At 40.2% G+C, this 19,337-nt stretch overlaps 1 protein-coding gene across 18 annotated transcripts in view, besides 8 other annotated features; it reads left to right on the forward strand.

Annotated features, from left to right (window-relative positions):
- Positions 4 to 423: a silencer, noted in NCBI's record as "silent region_2251". NCBI's record gives its function as "represses an Ori minimal core promoter by ATAC-STARR-seq in GM12878 lymphoblastoid cells {active_cell/tissue: GM12878}" and the evidence as "EXISTENCE:reporter gene assay evidence [ECO:0000049][PMID:35858748]".
- Positions 4 to 943: a biological region, named in NCBI's record as "NANOG-H3K27ac-H3K4me1 hESC enhancer GRCh37_chr10:28821447-28822130".
- Positions 150 to 833: an enhancer, noted in NCBI's record as "NANOG-H3K27ac-H3K4me1 hESC enhancer chr10:28821447-28822130 (GRCh37/hg19 assembly coordinates)". NCBI's record gives its function as "activates a minimal SCP1, AML or CMV promoter by ChIP-STARR-seq in naive H9 embryonic stem cells {active_cell/tissue: H9 hESC(naive)}" and the evidence as "EXISTENCE:reporter gene assay evidence [ECO:0000049][PMID:30033119]".
- The window catches only part of WAC (WW domain containing adaptor with coiled-coil), a 90,334-nt gene continuing 71,407 nt past the window's right edge, over positions 411 to 19,337 (forward strand). For 5 of the 18 annotated variants that reach the window (XR_007061967.1, XM_047425310.1, XM_047425311.1 and 2 more), the window contains exons 1-3: positions 750 to 1,252; positions 1,630 to 1,814; positions 3,194 to 3,389. Coding sequence is in view for 17 of the 18 variants with exons in the window: in XM_047425310.1 (XP_047281266.1) it covers positions 1,222 to 1,252; positions 1,630 to 1,814; positions 3,194 to 3,389 (412 nt within the window). In the remaining variant the exon portion in view is untranslated. Of the gene's footprint in view, positions 640 to 749; positions 1,253 to 1,629; positions 1,815 to 1,865; positions 1,979 to 3,175; positions 3,390 to 19,337 lie in introns of those variants that run through there. The other 13 variants (NM_016628.5, XM_047425313.1, NM_100486.4 and 10 more) reach the window with 9 other exon arrangements.
- Positions 454 to 643: an enhancer, noted in NCBI's record as "active region_3193". NCBI's record gives its function as "activates an Ori minimal core promoter by ATAC-STARR-seq in GM12878 lymphoblastoid cells {active_cell/tissue: GM12878}" and the evidence as "EXISTENCE:reporter gene assay evidence [ECO:0000049][PMID:35858748]".
- Positions 794 to 943: a silencer, noted in NCBI's record as "silent region_2252". NCBI's record gives its function as "represses an Ori minimal core promoter by ATAC-STARR-seq in GM12878 lymphoblastoid cells {active_cell/tissue: GM12878}" and the evidence as "EXISTENCE:reporter gene assay evidence [ECO:0000049][PMID:35858748]".
- Positions 1,154 to 1,233: a silencer, noted in NCBI's record as "silent region_2253". NCBI's record gives its function as "represses an Ori minimal core promoter by ATAC-STARR-seq in GM12878 lymphoblastoid cells {active_cell/tissue: GM12878}" and the evidence as "EXISTENCE:reporter gene assay evidence [ECO:0000049][PMID:35858748]".
- Positions 1,384 to 1,493: a silencer, noted in NCBI's record as "silent region_2254". NCBI's record gives its function as "represses an Ori minimal core promoter by ATAC-STARR-seq in GM12878 lymphoblastoid cells {active_cell/tissue: GM12878}" and the evidence as "EXISTENCE:reporter gene assay evidence [ECO:0000049][PMID:35858748]".
- Positions 1,504 to 1,753: a silencer, noted in NCBI's record as "silent region_2255". NCBI's record gives its function as "represses an Ori minimal core promoter by ATAC-STARR-seq in GM12878 lymphoblastoid cells {active_cell/tissue: GM12878}" and the evidence as "EXISTENCE:reporter gene assay evidence [ECO:0000049][PMID:35858748]".

The following is a 19,337-nucleotide window of genomic DNA, read 5'->3' on the forward strand; positions in this document are numbered from 1 at the left end:
CCCTTCCTATTAGCCGTTTCTGGCCGGGACTGCACGCGCTCCTTCCTGCCTCGGGGCGCAGGGTGAGACTTACGTCTAAAGGGCGCCCGGCGAGCTCGCAGCAGCCCCTGCCCCGCGGAGGGCCGGTGGCGCGCGGCGTCCGGTGAGGGGCAGCGGCCCGGGCTCGGTTCCGGCTTCCAGCAGCGGCCCGAAGGCGCCGGAGCACGCTCCCCGCTCCCCAGAACGCAGCTTCCGCGGCTGCAGCCCAGGCAGCTCTTCGGGAAGCGTCCGCCCGTGGTCTCGCCAGGGGGTTTCCGACCTCCCCGCCCGACAGCGCAGGGGCGGGGGCCGCGGCCGGAGAGCTCGCCCGAGAGCACCCCCTCCCGCTGCGCCTCTGGGCGCACGCGCAGCCGCTGCAGCCTCCCTTATTTAGTCCGCGATGGCTTCCCTCGCGCCCCACCGTCCTCTTCCGGAAGGCGGCTCCCTCCCTGCGCAGCCCGGAGCCCCTGAGATCAGCCTCGAGCAGGCGCCCGAGCGAGACTATCCCTAAACGGGAACGGCGGTGGCCGACTCGCGAGTGAGGAAAAGAAGGAAAGGGCAGACTGGTCGCGAAGAGAAGATCCAGGCCTCAGAGGAGGAGAAAGGCCGGAGCCAGCCGAGGTTTGCCGAGGGCGGTGTTCCGGACCCGCGCGGTGCGGGGAGGAAGGCCGAGGGTGGGAGAGGAGGGGCCCGGCGGAAACTGCCGAGGTTTCCCGAAGGCGGCAGCGTCCGAGTTGCCCGGATGTAGTTGGTGGAGCGGCAGCGGCGGCACCAGCGGCGGCGGCGGCGGCGGGAGGAGGAGGAGGAGAAGAAGGACCAGGCGGCGGCAGCAGCGGCGGCGGCGGGGGGAGGAGGGGAGGAGGCGGCGGAGCAGGAGGAGGAGAAGGCGGAGGAGGCAGTCGCTCTCCGCGGGGCTGAGCCGGACGCGTCGTCTTGCCCCCCTCCCCCCGGTTCGCGGTGCCGCCGTGTAGTTGGCGCCGCTGCCCCGGCTGAGAGTGAGCGTGGTGTCGACGGAGGGAGATGGCCCGGGAGCGCCGGCGCCAGTAACTGGGAGCTGATGAGAGTCGCCGAGGGCGCGCCGGGCCCAGGTGCCGGGGCTGCCCGCCGCCCGCCGCCGCCGCCGCCTGCGCGCCCGCCCGCCTTTCGCGGCCGCTCTCCCCCCTCCCCGACACACACTCACAGGCCGGGCATTGATGGTAATGTATGCGAGGAAACAGCAGAGACTCAGTGATGGGTAAATTGTCTTTTCGTTTCGGGCCGGGCGGCGGCGGGGGGCGGCGGCGGGGGGGCTGTTCCTCCTTATCTGGAGCTGGCCGGGCCGCCATTTTTGTTGTTAACCCTGATCCGGATCGGGTTGGGGAGGAGGAGCGGCCGCGCGGGCGGGCGGGCGGGAACGCAGTGTGGCGGGGAGCGGGGGCCCGGCTTCGCGGCATTTCGCCCTCTCCGGCCCTTCCGGAGGCTCCGGGTTTGTGCCGTGTGCGTGCGGGGCTCGGCGCTGGGGCGCTCGGTAGGTCTCCCGCGGGGAGGGGCGGCGGGGGCCCCGTTTTCTTCCTCCCCGGCCCCCCACCCGCGCCGTGTCTTATGTCGCTGCCTTCTCTTCCTGTTTTTCAGCTGTCACGACCGGAGGGGGGACTCGCAGCCTTACCAGGTACCAGCCGAGGCCGGGGTGGAGGGATTGGAAGGGGCCGGAGGGGGAAGGGAGGGACTGCTACTCGAGCGCAGGCCTCAGAAGTCGATACAGGCCCTTCGGTGCAACACATCTGAAACTAGCACCGCGGATCCCCTTAAAATTCCAGGTTTGGTTCCTTTAGCGCTCTCCAGCAAGGTTTAGTGACTTATTTTGACAGGTGACTGGAGGGAGTTCGCTGATTTAGGAAAAAAGAATCATTTGCAGCCAGAAAGACCTGACTCGATTATTTGATTATTTGCGAGTGAAGGAATCGATGGGATGAGATGATAGGTGACTTACGAGGCTTATTTATTTATTTATTGTGTTGGGGGAACTGAAAAGTTAATGTAAAGGTATTAAAATTAAGTGAAGAACTTGGGTAAATAGCTAAATGACTTACAACTTTCAAGTCGGTTATAAAGTACTACCCTTTCCCCTTTTAATATTTTTGGTATACTTAATTGCCTTACAAGTAAAAGATATGTGTGCTTTTGTTTCTGTAAGAATTGAGGTCTTTGGGTACTTGGATAATCATTCTGATGTAGGTGGTTCTAGGTAGGTGGGTTCCTTTTTGTTACTGCAGTCATTGTGTGTGAAGTTCTAAGGATTATGATGAAAGTGGCCCCAATTTTCAGGAGGGAAACCTCATAATGATTGTTAACCATCAGATGACTGCAGAAAACACTTTCTACATCTTAAAGGACTAGAGAGCAGGTTTCTAACCTGATGGTTGTGTTATACAGCTGAATTTGAAAACACTGTCTTCTGATATGTAAAACATTGGATATGTCAAAAATTAAACTTTACTGAATCTGTCCTCCAAAGCATAGCTGATTACACATTGCAACAGATTAGTACATCATGATTGTCTTAAGATATGTGTTAGAATAAAGCTAAACGATTATTTTGAGCGCATTATGCTTAGTTAGAAATAGTACTCACATTAGTTTATTTTGGTTAGTATTTTTATACCTTAAAATTGTTTCCCACACCTGGGAGAGTAAGGAAGTTAGGTCTGAAATGCTTTATTTGAATCAAAGAATTGGAGAAACTGGTGTGTGGGTTTTTTTTTTTTTTTTTGGTAGGTTTGCAAAAATATGCATGTGCTTATTTATACATGTGTTTGTGTATATCAGCTGTAGAGCAGAAATTGATTATAGTAGTACTGAATTTCTAGTTTTCTTTTGACTATCAAAAAATGATTCTAAATATTCTCAGCCAAATTTTTTTATTTTTTGCAGAATCAGTGTGCAAGGTGGTTTATAAGATAATGGAGTGGGTTTTTTTTGTGTTTAGTGTGATTTGTTATCAGGAGTCTTATTGTAACGCTTAAGCATTAGGTTTTTTGTCTGAGAAACTTTAAAGAGTAAAGCAGAATTGAAAGTGGAAATTTTAATTTTGTAAGTTCATAAAATTTAATGATAATACACCAAAGTTTATGTTTAAATTAGGGAGTTTAAGGTTTCAATTCTTTCTCTCTTTTTTTGGGGGGGTGATGTTTTACAGGCACTTAAGTATTCATCGAAGAGTCACCCCAGTAGCGGTGATCACAGACATGAAAAGATGCGAGACGCCGGAGATCCTTCACCACCAAATAAAATGTTGCGGAGATCTGATAGTCCTGAAAACAAATACAGTGACAGCACAGGTCACAGTAAGGCCAAAAATGTGCATACTCACAGAGTTAGAGAGAGGGATGGTGGTGAGTATCTTTCTTGTTGAAACTTTGACATACAGTTTTAACAATAGCTCTATATAAAAGGCGGCAGTAGTATTTCTAGCTTGAAGAAGTTACTGTTCAGTTATGTCATTAAAATATTTTAATCCTATCATTTTTTTTTTACTCTGAACAAGTTACTGTAGAAACAAGATGCTGATGTGAGCATCTAAAAAGTGGACTCTTAAGGCCAGGCGCGGTGGCTCACGCCTGTAATCTCAGCACTTGGGAGGCCGAGGCGGGCAGATCACCTGAGGTCAGGAGTTCAAGACCAGCCTGGCCAGCAGGTGAAAACCCATCTCTACTAAAAATACAAAAGTTAGTTGGGCATGGTGGTGGTGGCAGGCGCCTGTAGTGCCAGCTCTTCAGGAAGCTAAGGTAGGAGAATCACTTGAACCTGGTTGGTGGAGGTTGCAGTCAGCCTGAGATGGTGCCACTGCACTCCAGCCTGGGTGCTAGAGTGAGACTCCATTAAAAAAAAAAAAAAAGCGGACTTTAGTGTTTAATAATAAGGGAATGCATTTATGAATATAGTTTAAAACATGCTTTCTTAAGGATGGGAAAAATGCAGGACTTTTTTCCAAGAAAGGAACTTTGACCTTTTAAAGATTTCAGTTTGAGATCCTTATTGTTGCTTCAGTTTGTTACTTTTTAAGGTGTTCAAATCTGTTTTCTAATTACAATGATAAACTATGAATTTAAAAACTCATTATGTTTTTTCAGGATAGTTCCCAGATTTAAAAAATTATTTATGACTTAGAAAATACATTCTTGCTTTTTGTTGTAAACATTTTCAGTATTCTCCAGTTTTGGTGATGTGATTTTTATACCTGGTTCATTGAAATATTCTTTTTAAAAGTTAGTCTGATTTCTTTTGCACAGTCCTGTACCTTCAATTATAAGTTTGCCTCAAGCTCTTTGTGGTAGGAGTCTGAGAATAAGTAAACAAAACCAATTCTCAGTAACTATTTTCAGACTTAATTTGCCCGAATTACATTTCATGTCAAAAGCATGCATTAAGGAACAAAGCAATTTCAGTAAAGACACCTATATTCTCTCCTACATGTTGCTTAAGTAGATAACATATCTTAAGCAGATTTACAATATTAAAAGCTTCCAAGGAAACTCAGTAAAGTACCATGTGACTTTTTGCCCCTATTGGCAGCTAGTTCTTCAATACTTGGCTTACTTTAAAAAAAATACCTTGCATCTTGCCCCTTTTGTCCACCTAGGATAGAAATCAGCTTTATTCAGTGTGATCATATACTGAGAAACATTGGCTTCCTCTACATAATTACTGGTTTGAGAAAATACAGTCAGAAGATTGCACTGGGATTGAATAATTTGGATGAGAAGAAAGTAGTTCTCTATTGAATGTAGTTATAGCTTAGTGCTATTTATGCAGATAAACCACATTTTTGTAACAGTAGTAGCAGGTGTATTTGATTATTAAAGTGTTACAAGTTATTGGGTTGCAAAATTAAGCTTTTAGAGTTATCAGTTTTGTGGGTAAGTTTTCCATAGTATTATGTAAAGCCTGAGATGGTACTCTCTATCAACCACTCTTCTATAGTGGATTTCATTTCTAATGTTAGCTCTTGGAGAGCAGGTACTGGTTGTACTATACTGTATTTATTTTGAAAAATTTGGTGATTGTAACAAAATAGGATATGGCACCTCATCTTCTTACAAATAGGCTCTTATTTTAGTGACTATGATCCAGTTTATCCCCAAATGCAAGAAGTCAGTTTTTCAGTTATAAATGCTTTCAATCATTTCCAGCAAACCTTGCTCAGCCAATTCTTTTACAGGTGAAGTAATCCCAAGAACATTCTGTTGCTTATTCATTCAACAAACCTGGGGCATCTACTGTGTGCCAACATTTGTGTGATACTCCTGGGAGTCAAGATGTGATCCTGGCCTTGAAGCTATTCTTAAATGCTTTGACTCTTGAGAGCTAGTGGTGTTTTAGCCACTTACTTTTTCTGTACCCATTTTTTCTTCACTTTGATTTTTTCATTTTTCTACCTGTATGAACTCCAGGTACTTGTTAGCTTTTCGTTTTTAAAAATTTGCATCTTTCCTGATGTTTCTTTAGCTTCATTTGCAAGAAACTTGATGTTTTTCTGATCTAATCACTTGCTAAGTTAGGCCCCACTTTCCAATTTTCTTTCTAGCTGATTGTCGTCTTCTGGAGTCTTCCAGCTAATACTGTGATTCCATTCCTGTCTCTACCATCTCTAACATACCTGGCTGCCATATTCCTTTATATTATATGGAAATAATAATATGAGGTATATCTCCATTCTGGAATTGAGAGTACATCTTTGATATTCTCTCTTCAAAAAACGTAAAATGGTGATTTTTCCTCATTTTATAGTGAGATATTTAGTCATTATAATTTGTTTTCTGGTGTTTATTTTTTATTGCTAATGATGTGTTTGGCACTAAGATGTTAAAAGTGTATATGTATGATTTTTATTGCAGGCATTATAAACTCCTTTGGATTTTTATCCAAAAATGAATTCAGGCCGGGTCAGTGGCTCACGCCGGAATCTCAGCACTTTGGGAGGCCGAGGCAGGCAGATCACCTGAGGTCAGGAGTTTGAGACCAGCCTGGCCAACGTGGTGAAACCCTGTCTCTACTACAAATACAAAAGTTAGCTGGTTGCGGTGGCGAGTGCCTGTAATCCCAACTACTAGGGAGGCTGAGGCAGGAAAATCACTTGAACCCAGGAGGTGGAGGTTGCAGTGAGCTGAGATTGTGCCATTGCACTCCAGCCTGGGAGACGGATTGAGACCCTGTCTCAAAAAAAAAAAAAAAAAAAAGAATTCAGCCAGGCACAGCTGCTCATCTCTGTAATGCTGGTTGCTTGGGAGGTTGAGATGGGAAGGTCCTTTGAAGCCAGGAGTTTGAGACTAGCCTTGGCAACATAGCAAGACCCTGTGTCTACTAAAAAAAAAAAAAATTTTTTTTTTGATTAGCTGGGTGTGGTGGGATGATTGCTTGAGCCCAGGAGTTTGAGGTTAACAGTGAGCTGTGGTTGTGCCACCACACTCTAACCTGGGTTGATAGAGTGAGACCCGTCTGTTTAAAAAAAAAAAAAAAAAAGAAAAAAATTAATGTATATAAATTCAAGACCATTATCAAAAATCAAATGCAAGTGAGTTGGATTATCTAAGCTCTAAGCATGTAAAAAACTTAAGATTACAGCAGGTTACTTACTATATGCATTGAACTACTGAATTCAAATTTCCCAGTTTTTCATTTTAAGATTTAATGATTTTCTTTACTAATAATAACCTATATGCTATGATTTGTAACTTGCATTTTACAAAGCAAGTTAAATGTGGAACTTGTGCGTTTGTTTACCTTAGGATTAGGCTTTACTGGCATCACAGCATTTTTCAGTAATTACTAGATTTCTTAGCATCTTGGATTTCATTGAAAAATGCTCGTTCAGAAGTAATGTATGAAAGGACTTGCAGATACAATATAAAAAGTGAGAAATCAGGGATTGTGAAGGTTTTTATTCCCAAAAACCTTGCTAGTTAAAATAAGACTTGCTGTAACATAGCGTGTATAGTTTAGAGTTAGAGATTTTATCCATTAGGATTTATTAAAGGAAATAATGTCTATTGTAAATTTAAGATAGGTTATGTGAGAGTATAATTAAAATATTTTTTTGTGAAATGAGTTATTTTTATATAGTCTGTGATCTGTCTGAAAACATACAATCTTGTTTAAAGTAACCAAAAGCAAAAACCTTAAGGTACAATCGTTAGGGTTTGTTTTTTGGTTTTTTTTTTTCTGGAGACAGAGTTGCCCAGGCTGGAGTGCAGTGGTGTGATCCTGGCTCGCTGTAACCTCTGCCTCCTGAGTTCAAGCGATCCTTCTGCCTTAATGTCCCAAGTAGCTGGGATTACAAACATACGCCATCATGCCCGGCTAATTTTTGTATTTTTAGTAGAAATAGGGTTTCACCAAGTTGGCCAGGCTGGTCTCAATCTCCTGCTCTCAAGTGATCCACCTGCCTCGGCCTCCCAAAGTGCTAGGATTACAGGCGTGAGTCACCGCGCCTGGCCCATAGTGAAGTTTTTATTTTGTCATTTAGCTATATCTTTGGAAAAATTTGGAAATGTATTTTCATCTCCCTAACTTTCAAATAAAAGTTACTATTAACATTTTGAAGGAATTAGTAGGGATTATTTGGTGATAATGTCTTTTTTTAATATAATTTAGTAACGTTTGAGTCTTTCACATTGAATAATAGACTGGCAGTTGAGCAACATGGTCTTACCGTTGTTTAGATGACTTTGAAATATGCTTTGAGTTAGTAATGTTACAAATTACTAACATTAGAAATGTTGTATAGAAAGTAAGTATACAAATTAACAGTCGCTTTTGATACTCATGTTAACTTTGGAAGACAACAGATAGTATCCTTATTTCCAGTTTTACAAATGAGGGAAAATTTAATAAAATTGAACAGAGAGCAACAGCTCAGTCTAGAAACTAGTTCTCTAACTTCGGTAACTTGTATGCTGTCAGAGATTAAACACTTGGGTATTGAAAGCTTATTTGGTGGTGGTTACTATGGCATGAATTAGTTTGAAGGCATTTTTGCTTTTATCCTGCTAATATCTTCACCCTTCTTCCCTCAGTGGTTACAACTTGCCAAATTATAGTACCTTGATAAGATGTATTTGTGTAGTTCTAGGCGCAGTTATCACATCAGTGTTTTATTTTCAAAAATAAGTTTTGACATGGAAGCATGACACAGATTTCACTAGGAAAAGTCCATTTTCTCTTAATCCCTCATATTTAAAGACTTGTTTACGAAGTGGAAACATTGCATAGAATATAATACACTAACGTTTGGATTTTAATAATACGTTTGACTGATGTTAAGTATTTTTTGTCTAGTAAAAATAGTGACACATGACCTTTTTTCATTGATTTATGCTTTGTGATAATACTATGCAGAAATGTTTGCATTGGATTTCCATTGGTCAATTTAGAAAACACAGGAAACATACTCTGTTTCAAGAGAAGTGGAATAAGATTGAAGGAGTAGCAGTCTTAATGTTTCAACTCTTCATTGTTTTTTTTTTAATTTTAGAAAACAGTGTCTGTGATGTAAGCATCTGTGCATGTAAATTGTTAAATTTGAACACTAGTACCAAGTCATTTGTCTTACGCTTCTCATAATCACATTTTAACTTTTTATATTTTTAGAGAGATGGTTATTATGTATTGTTTATAATTTAATGGTATTTCTATTTTACAATCAGTATTTTGGAATGAGTTCACTTAGATCCTTAGATCCTTAAGACAGTCTTAATTGAACTGTTTTCTAGTTGTGCAGGAAGTATTTAAAATTTTTGGTGTAACATACTTGGGGTTTTGGTCTGTAATTCACAGAAAATTTATATATTCTAATTTGTGTCTATTAAGCATCTGTTACCTTATTCTGTTGTGCAGAATTGTTTGGGGGGTAGTGCATCATTTTGTTATGATGCTGGAAAGAGTGAAGATGGAAATAAGCTGGGCATTTGGGATGCTATACCAGGCACTAGATATAACTCATTGTCAATTTGATAATTACAAAACCAATTTTTGTGGGGTTGTGTGTGTGTGTGTTTTGTTTTTTTTTTTTTTTTTTTTTTTTTTAAGACAGTCTCACTCTGTACCTAGGCTGGAGTGCAGTGGCACGATCTCGATCTCACCTCATTGCAACCTCCACCCCCTGGCAAAATCAGTTATTTGGTTATTTGGGGCTTGCAAATATATTCTATGAACAGTCCTTTTCAGGATTTGTATGATGCTTTATAATTTTCAAAGGGTTTCTATATTGTTTCTCATCTGACTCCACAGTAGCTCTTTGAAATAGGCTGATCAGTATTATTCCTGTTGTACTGATGAAATTATAAAGTATTTAGCCTACTGTTGTTGAAACTGGAAAGGAAGTCTCTTCACATAAAATTTTATCTCTGCCTTCAAATTATACTCCAAGTATAACTAATTCTCACTATTTTATCATTTTAGTTCTGGCTACCACCTTTTCTTAGCTTGAATTCTGCAAGAGCCCCCTAGTGTTCCCGAGTCCATTTTGCTTTGTATGATTGTTTCCCCACACAGTAGCCAGAGTGATCCAGTTAAAATGCCAGTCACCTCACATCTCTCTCAAGCTCACGGCCCTCCAGTGACTCCCTGTTTCTTAGCAAATCTTATAATAGATCCTGTGTAATCTGGTGTCTGGGTATTTTTTCAGCCTCTTCTACTATCTTCCCCTTGTTTGTGCTACTCTCTCCATACTGGCCCTGCAGGCAGAAGTTTGTTCCTGTCTCAGGGGCTCTGCACATTATGTGCCTTTATGTTTCTCCTACTGTGCTCACTCACTTCAGTAATGTGTCTGCTTAAGTGTCACCCTCTCACAGGGCCTTCTCTGCCCTTGCTGAACACTCTGAAACAGTCATTCTCATCATTGTCTTTCCTTGCCCCTGCGTGTTCCTTCCTTGTATGAAGGTGACCTGTTATGATTTACTTATAGTCATTCTGCTATAACATGACATGGGCATTTCTGAAAGTCACGGTGCTGTGCAACATTGCACCAGACCAATTTATGGGGAAAATGGAGTTAGGAGCACAGTAACCAAAAACATTGTCAGTGACACATTTTAAAAAGATAGGAACCTAATAAAAATTGTAACTTAGTTTTACACGTATAAAATGGTTAAAGAATAACACCGCAATAAATGGCACTTTACCTTGACCAAAACCTGACTTCTTGTGAAAGTGGCCACTCATTGGAAGGGTTGCAGTTCATGAATTACTGTAAAGTGATGGATGGAAGATACCTGATACGAGACAAAAACTTGTAACATCAAATGTGGATGGACCTGACTCATAATTCATGATGAACTAAGATAGCTATTAGATGTTTGAGCTGTGTCTGCCTTGTAAATTCCTGTGCAGCTTGATGTAGCTAGTGTTTCTCACAGGTGAAAATACACATAAGTGGGAAATTTGCTGGTTTCTGATAGATCAGTAGCCTTCAAACAAATTTGTCTATTTGGAAACAAATGTTATAGCAGAACTGACTGTATTTTAGTTTTTGTTTGCTTGCCTTTTGTGGAATATAAGCTCCACCAGAAGAGGAAGTGAGAGTTTTAATGTTTTTATCCACCTTGTATTCCTGTTACCTTGAATAGTGCCTGAAACTTTATAGCATTTAACTAAATGGATAGATAAAAAAAATTTGGATTGTTATAATTTAAGGGGAATGAAATTATAGTATTTTGGATTAGCATTCCTCAAACTTGAATGTGTATACTAAGCACCTGGAGATACTATAGTCAGTAATTCTGGGGTGGGTCCCAAAGATCTGCCTTTTAACAAGATCTCGGGTGATACCTACACTTCACTAGAGTAACAAGGTTCTATAGCAGCACCGTCCAGTGGAAATATGTTGGCCACAAATGCAAACCATATGTGTACTTTTCTAGTAGCTTTGCTTAAAAACTAAAAATGATTCAATTTTAGTATATTTTATTTGACCTAATATATCAAAAATATTTCAACTTGTAATTGATACCTTAAAAACTATAATGACATACTTTACATTCCCTTTTTGGTACAAGATCTTTGAAACCTAGTGTCTATTTAACATTTACAGCACATTTCAGTTTGGACAAGCCACATTTCATGTGTTTAATTGCCACATGTGAATGATGGTTATTGAATTGGACAATGCGGTTCTGAGGAATGTGATCGCCCTGTTGGCCTGTCTGGCTTTTACATATATTTTTATTTCTCTAAGGAAAGTATTTTGTATGCTTGACTTCTGAAATGCCATATTTATGCAAAGCAAGATTGGAGTTAATGGGTCCTTGAGCTATATAGTGCTTCTTGTACTAAAATTTTGTTAGTACACGCTCATTGTAGAAAAATTAGGAAATGCAGAGAAAAGGGGAAAAAGAAAGTCACCTTGTATCTTCTCATTTAAGAGTTAATCACTAGTTTTCATAGAAAACATTCTCATGCCATAAAATAATTAGTATTCTGTAATCTTTCCAGAATTGGTTTCCTTTGTTTTGTTTTTTGTTGTTGCTGTTGTTGTACTTGTTGTTTGAGGCAGGGTCTTACTCTGTCATCCCAGGCTGGAGTGCAGTGGCGCAATCTTTGCTCACAGCAAGCTCGCCTCTGCAGGTCAAGTGATTTTCCCGCCACCCAAATAGCTGGGATTACAGGTGCGCACTGCCACGCCCAGCTAATTTTTGTATTTTTAGTAGAGACAGGGTTTTGTCATGTTGGCCAGGCTGGTCTTGAACTCTTGGCCTCATGTGATCCATTCGCCTCAGCCTCCCAAAGTGCTGGGATTATAGGCATGAGTCACTGAGCCCACTTCTTTCCAGATTTTTTGTAAAATTGTTTCGCATTGTGTTCCCTTTATTCGCTTGTATTAATATTTGCGTAGTGGATTAAACAAATACTTGGTGTTGACTGTCAGTCTTAGAGGACTGACTAGAAGTAGTTTTCATTTGGGGCTCAGGAAATACCTACTTTATATTTCTAGCTAATTAGGAAAGTCATTTTTCAGTTAGGTTGGTGTTTTGGTTCAGGCACTCGCTAGCTAGATGACCTAACATGCTACTTAATTTCTGAGTGTTTGTGTCCATCCCTGTAGGATTGTTGCGGGGTTAAATGAAATTGTGTATATTTGTAAAGCATTTACCTCAGTGCCCAGACTGTGACAGAGTAGATTATTAGGCTTGCTCTTATTTCTGTGATTAAATTTAGTGTCAGATTAGCAACCTATAGCTACTTCTAAAGCTGCTGCTGCTTTCTTTGTTTAGGGTTAGGAAGAAACATGCTGGACAGTTTGCCAAATGAGAGTTACATGATGTGGCTTGTGGGAACATTCTAACTTGGAACTTGCCCATTTCCAGGACTTTGTGGTTCAGAGATTTTTGGGGATAGATGTAAGGGTTAAAAAAACAGAAAACGGCCAGGCGCGGTGGCTCACGCCTGTAATGCCAGCACTTTGGGAGGCCAAGGCGGGCAGATCACCTGAGCTCAGGAGTTTGAGACCAGCCTGTGCAACATAGTAAAACCCTGTCTCTACTAAAAATACAAAAATTAGCTGGGGCGTGGTGGTGCATACCTGTAATCCCAGCTACTCGAGAGGCCGAAGCAGGAGAATCGCTTAAACCCAGGATTGCACCACTGCACTCCAGCCTGGGTGACAGAGTGAGACTCTGTCTCAAAAAAAAAAAAAAAAAAAATGGTAGTGCAAGTTTAGAGTAATGGTTCCCAAATTAGGCTGCTTATTAGGCTCCCCTGAGAAGCTTTTAAAGTTACAGCTTCCTTGACTCCCTCCCCATTACCCAGAATCAAAGCAATAGTTGATGGAGCCTAGAAAACTGAATTTTTAGGCCGGGCACAGTGGGTCATGCACGTAATCCCAGCATTTTGGGAGGCCGAGGAGGGCGGATCACCTAAGTTCGGGAGAGACCAGCCTGACCAATGTGGAGAAACCCCATCTCTACTAAAAATACAAAATTAGGCATGGTGCATACCTGTAATCCCAGCTACTTGGGAGGCTGAGGCAGGAGAATTGCTTGAACCCGTGAGGCAGAGGTTGTGGTGAGCTGAGATCACGCCATTACATTCCACCCTGGGCAACAAGAGCGAAACTCCGTCTAAAAGAAGAAAAAGAAAACTGAATTTTAAAATAAACACTGGGTTAATTTAAGTATTTATAAACTGCAGATTTAGGGAGAGTACACAGAAGGGAAGAGGAACTCTGAAGTGGACATTAAGGAATGTGAGTTTTATCATTAACAGTCTGATTATTAGAGTGGTTATTTGGCAAATTGTGTAATGTGTTCTTGTTTTAAAGAATTCTCTATCATCTAGATTCACAGATAGGATTTGTAAGTAATTGCTATTAAATAGCTAACTTAATATCCTGTGCAAGGGCATCTAATGCCCAGCAGTAGAGAAGTTTCTAATTGGACAGGCCAGTGAGATACATTGGGTAGTATCTGGAGCCACTGGTGTTACTTTAGATAATACCTACTTAGGTACTACATTTCCACCATAACACCTCGTCTCTAGCATTAAGCTGTCCTGAGACACTTCAGTGGTAAATTTCATTTAGCTTTTATCTCAGTTGGAAAAATAGCCTTTCTCCAAGTTAGTAGAGTATACTTAGGCTGATCTTAGGTGTTAACAAAAGATTTCCTAAAGTTTACTCTTAGGAGTATTTGCATTTTAAAGGAAATTTAGAATGTATGTGGTTGATATATTTAGATAGTGTTAGTCTTTCTGTGTAGGCTTTAATTACTTCTGACTTTGTATGACAGTGCCAAAAGAGCATGACCTACTATTGGCGTCTTCCTAAAGGTTCTGACCTGTTCTGTATTCATAGAACTAATCTTTTCTGGTAGCTAAAAAAGCAATGCTAGTGAATTATGTTACATTGGAGTACTTTGGTTACGATGAAGAGAGGATCATGATGAAATATTTCTGCATTTAATAATTTGTTCTAACTTCATAGAATTGTGTGCCTGTTGATTGTGAAAAGATTCATTGTAATGGAAGAAAGCTGGAGAAGTTGGGGTACAGAGTGACAAGCTGCTAGAAGTACTGTTCTCTGCTGCCTTCAGCCTTTTCTGTGGTTATTGGGGCTGGTTTCTGTTCTGCTGCCTGCTGGCTCCTTGTCAGTCTTCTAAGCATTCATATTTAATATGCACGGATACCTGAATCGCAGTTATGATACTTTGATTTTTTTTTAAAGAATAATGAGTTAAGTCCCAAAGTAGTACTTTCTAAAACTAAAATAATTTTATATTTTTGTGTAATTATGAGAGTTCCTTTTTTATATAGCTGTTAAATAAATGCCAGTGTTAATTATTTTGGAAAAACAGAATGAACTCTCCCCTTTGAGTTTGACCAATTTTATTTATTTAAACATGTAAATTTTGTGAACTTTGCTGCTTTGTTCATATTGCATAGGTTTTGATGGAAAGTTGAAGAGTTATCTCGTTTTTTATTCAAGCCTAAATGTAATTTCAGTTTTGATTTGTCTTTTTTTTTTTTAACCCAAATCTATTAAGGGTATTTTAAAAATCTAAATGAATCAGTTTTGTAAATCACTGTTAGGCTTTCTTTTTGTTTCTAATTTTCTTGGCTTTTTGGAATTAGAATTTTTATTATCTCTGGATACTTTGTCGATATTTTTGGGATATTTGAAAATAATGTATTTCCTGTTGGGTACAAAGATCTCTGTCAGTAGATAAGCTTTTAAATTATTTAATGAATAATTATGTAGTATGTCTTTTGTATCTTTATTTGATTTAGCATTTTCTGGCAGATGGGATTATTTTATAGCATAGTTCATTTCATTTCTCATTTTTAAAAGCACTTTTTGCTTTGTGTGTTACATATGTTTGCTTAAAGATTTCGGACTTTTGGCCAGGTGCGGTGGCTCACCCCTGTAATCCCAGCGCTTTGGGAGGGCAAGGTGGGCGGATCACCTGAGGTCAGGAGTTAGAGACCAGCCTGGCCAACATGGTGAAACCCCGTCTCTACTAAAAATACAAAAATTAGCTGGGCGTGGTGGCATGTGCCTGTAATCCCAGCTACCTGGGAGGCTGAGGCAGGAGAATCACTTGAGCCCTGGAGGCAGAAGATGCAGTGAGCCTGGGTCATGCCACTGCACTCCAGCCTGGGCAACAAGAGTGAGACTCCATCTCCAAAAAAAAAAAAAGACTTGTAACTTTTTTTGTGAATCGTAATCTAAGACTTTGCACATTGGGAAATGTCTTCATTTTGTTTTCATGTCTGAATAAATTATCTTTTGGCTATATTAAAAAATCATTTATCCTTTAATTTTTTTTTCCCTGAAGATATTTCTAAAAATCAAACCTGGTTCTTTTTCATGGATAGATACCCATTGGGATGTATGACTCCTAATTTACTCTCCTACCCAGCTTGAAAATTTAGAGTTTTTCCTTCTTTATCCTTGGATCTAAAACTTCACAAATCTCACTTTGTAAGTGTAGGCCTTTTTTCGTTACTTCTAATTAGTGCATTTTAATTTTTTAATTACATTTTAATTTTCTTTCTCTTTTTCTTTTTTTTTTTTTTTCTTCTTTGAGAGAGAGTTTCGCTCTTGTTGCTGAACCTGGAGTGTAGTGGCGCAATCTTGGCTCACTGCAATCTCCGCCTCCCGGGTTCAAGGGATTCTCCTGCCTCAGCCTCCCGAGTAGCTGGGATTACAGGTGCGTGCCACCATGCCTGGCTAATTTTTTTTTATTTTTAGTAGAAACAGGGTTTTACCATGTTAGCCAGGCTGGTCTTGAACTCCTTACCTCAGGTGATCCACCTGCCTCTGCCTCCCAAAGTGCTGGGATTTACAGGAGTGAGCCACCACGCCCGGCCAACATTTTAATTTTCTAAAGACCCTGGACAATACCCTGAATGCTTAGTGCCTTTTTGTCTAACCCTATCCGTTAGAGAGTCATCTTCCACACTCTTTTTTTCTTCTCTTTTACTTGTTTCTAACTTTTCTCCTTTTAGAACTCCTGTTAGATGTTTTTTGGTTCTATTCTACTTCTCTTTTGCCTGGTAAATAGTAAGTACAGTAGTTAGATAATTTTTAAGTGTACACTCCACTCTGGGGAGAATCTCTTGGCATCTTCTTTCAACCCCCTGATAATTAAAGCTGTGTTCATTTCATCCACCTATTCCAAGTTTTATTTTGGGTGCTGTGCTTTTTTCATAGCTTTTTGTGATTTTATAACTGATTTACTAGAAATACTCTTGAGAATTTGGGTTATTTTTTAGTTTTTTTCATGTTAAATATATGTTTTTCTGGTTGAGTTTGGTGCATCATACCCGTGTTACTGGGTTCCTCAGATGCTTGCTGTTCATAGTTGTCTATTCATGTTTGGGAATACGAGACTAGGTCAACTCTATCAAATAGAATATATGGTTGAAAATGTTTGCTGTCTGAGCTGTCCAGTGTGGTAGCCACCAGCTACGTGTATATTGAGCATTTGAAATGTGGCTAGTGCAGCTAAGAAACTCAATTTTTGTAGTTTTTTTTTGGTTTGGTTTTGTTTTTGAGGCAGAGTCTTGTCCTGTCACCCAGGCTGAATGGAGTGCACTGGTATGGTCATGGCTCACTGCAGCCTCAAAAAAACTCCTGGGCTCAAGTGATCCTCTTGCCACAACCTCCCAAGTAGTTGAGCCTGCAGGCATATGCTGCCACTTCTGGCTAATTTTTGCATTTTTTATAGAGACAGAGTTTTACCATGTTACCCAGGCTGGTCTTGAACTCCTGGCTTTAAGTAATCCTCCTGCTTCAGCCTCCCAAAGTGCTGGGATAATGGGTGTGAGCCACCACATCCAGACAAGTTTTTGATTTTTTATGGTGTTGGCTTTCCTTTCTGTGCTGCTGTTTTAATCTCATGCTTGAGCCGTGACTCAAAAGTTACTTTTTCTGAGGTGTTCTGTCTTTGCTGCTTTCTCAGTTTTCATACCCTACCTGGGTATAGCTGTGGGTATCTCATGCTTCTTTTAATCCTTTGATTTTCAGGCCTACATATCTCTTTGCTTATTGGACAGCCACCACCTAATGTTCTATAGATAATCTTCCTAAATCTTTTTCTAATTTGGCTATTCCCTGTCCTGATTAATGCCTGGGAAGTTGTCCCTGATTCTTTTTTCCTGTGTTTATGGGCAACTTCCAGAACTCATTGCCCTGTTTTAAAATATTGCAATATCTTGTTTACAGACCTGTTGTCTCATTCTTTACCCGCAGCTGAGTAAAAATTAACTACAAATTTAAACATACTCTTTTCATTAACCCTGAAAGCCTGAATTTTATAGGTCTTAATTATGTTGTATTGATGACAGTTGTCCAAAAATGAGTTTTTCTCTCCGCTTCCACATATACTTATCAGATACATTTTCTTATCTAATGTACATAAGAGGCCACTGAAATGAACTGTTATGTCCATGCCTGAAAGTTAGCATCTCAGACTAGGTTTCTGGCTTGTATAAATATAACTTGAAGTTTAAAGAGTTTTAAGTTTTGGCCAGGCGCAGTGGCTCACACCTGTACTCCCAGCAGTTTGAGGTCCCGAGGTGGATGGATCACGAGGTCAGAAATTCAAGACCAGCCAGGCCAAACATGGTTGAAACCCTATCTCTACTAAAAATACAAAAAGTTAGCTGGGTGTGGTGGCCAGCACCTGTAATCCCAGCTACTCGGGAGGCTGATGAGGCAGGAGAATCGCTTGAACTTGGGAGATGGAGGTCGCGGTGAGCGGAGATCACACCACTGCACTCCAGTGGGTGATAATGCAAGACTCAGTCTCAAAAAAAAAAAAAAGTTTGTTTTATGAGCCACCATTACCCAAAGTTCACATTACTCTTTTCTCAGCCACTCTCTGCCTTCTCTATAATCTAGTCATGTAAAAGCACTTACCCAGTCCTAGGCATCTTTTTTTTTTTTATGCTGTTGTCCCATTGTATGTGTTTTCATAGCCAAAATTGTCCTCTCTCCACTCCTACCTCACCTTTTTTTTTTTTCCTTTGCCAAACCTCTTACTCCTTCAAGGTCCCACTTTATTTTATGAAGCCTTCCTTGAGCCTATCTTTATTATAGCTCTTTTGTAGAGATTTGTAATTATTTACATATGTTGTTTGCCTGCTACACTTTGAGCTCCTAATAGGCAGCGATTTGTATGTGTGTGTGGAGGGGGGTCTGGTGTATATATATGTGCTCAGTAAATGTTAAATGTCTTATGTCATTTGACATATTCAGGAACAGGTGAGTGGCAGAAATCTTCAGAGAACTGATGTCCCTCAAACTTTTAAGTGCATTTAAGAGTAAAATCATAAGAATTTACTACTACAGAGTTCCTATAGTGTTTGAATTGAAGTTGCTCTTGTATTATTTGTGGAGGAAGCAAATAGTCTATTCAGGCTTTCAGGAAAATGTGTGAACTGTAAGCATATAAACTTTAAAAAAAATTGTGTACATAATTGATGTGCTAATTCCAAACCATTATCAATCTCTTAAGTAGCCCGGCTGGTTAGACTAGTGTCCGTTGCATTAGTATAATCCTATAGAAAGCTGTATGTGATTTGAATACTGAAGTGACATTTTAAATTTTGCAGTTCAGGCTCTTCACTAATTTTATTGTTCCTTTTCCAAATCATTGTTTCTCAAACCCTCTTAAATTCATATCTCACTAGCTAAGGAGATTTTTATGGTTTTCCTTTCTGTAGTAAATTAGGTAGAATAATAGGGGGGATATTTTGGGGTGGTGTTAGTGGTGGTCTGTTTTCCAGATATCCTGTATCTGAATATTCAGTAAGCTTTTTGAAGCTACTTACACATCCGTAAAACTTCTCAGATTTAGTGTTCTATTTCCTGCATCCTTGAGAATGGCTAATTGTTTTGAACTGGTGATTCATTATGTTGTGATTTTATTCCTAAACTGACTATAATGATGTAAAGTGACTTTTCATCACTTTGTATCAGGGAAAAAAAAGAATGCAGCTATTACATGGGCATACTTTAGCTCTTGAGCTTGTGCATTTTGACAGTAAAACTATGACTTTTACAAGTAAACCGATTGAAAGCATATAAGCTATTATAATCGAGCAGTGGCTCAGTTGTAAAAAGTCTTCTTGGGGTTGAATTCACATCTTGTGGAAAAGCCAGGGGCCACATAGCAGATCAGTCTTGGTTTCTCTTCAGTCCTATCTTATTTTTTATCTGAAACAATATAAACCAGCTTGCCTTTTATCTTATTTACTGTTATTTTCACTGAATTGTTTTTAATGGTTAAACCCATCCCCAATAATTAATTAGCTTAAGATATTGGAGCGAATGCTGTAGGATCTGA

This window comes from Homo sapiens, chromosome 10, assembly GCF_000001405.40.
Source record: "Homo sapiens chromosome 10, GRCh38.p14 Primary Assembly".
Taxonomy (NCBI): domain Eukaryota; kingdom Metazoa; phylum Chordata; class Mammalia; order Primates; family Hominidae; genus Homo; species Homo sapiens.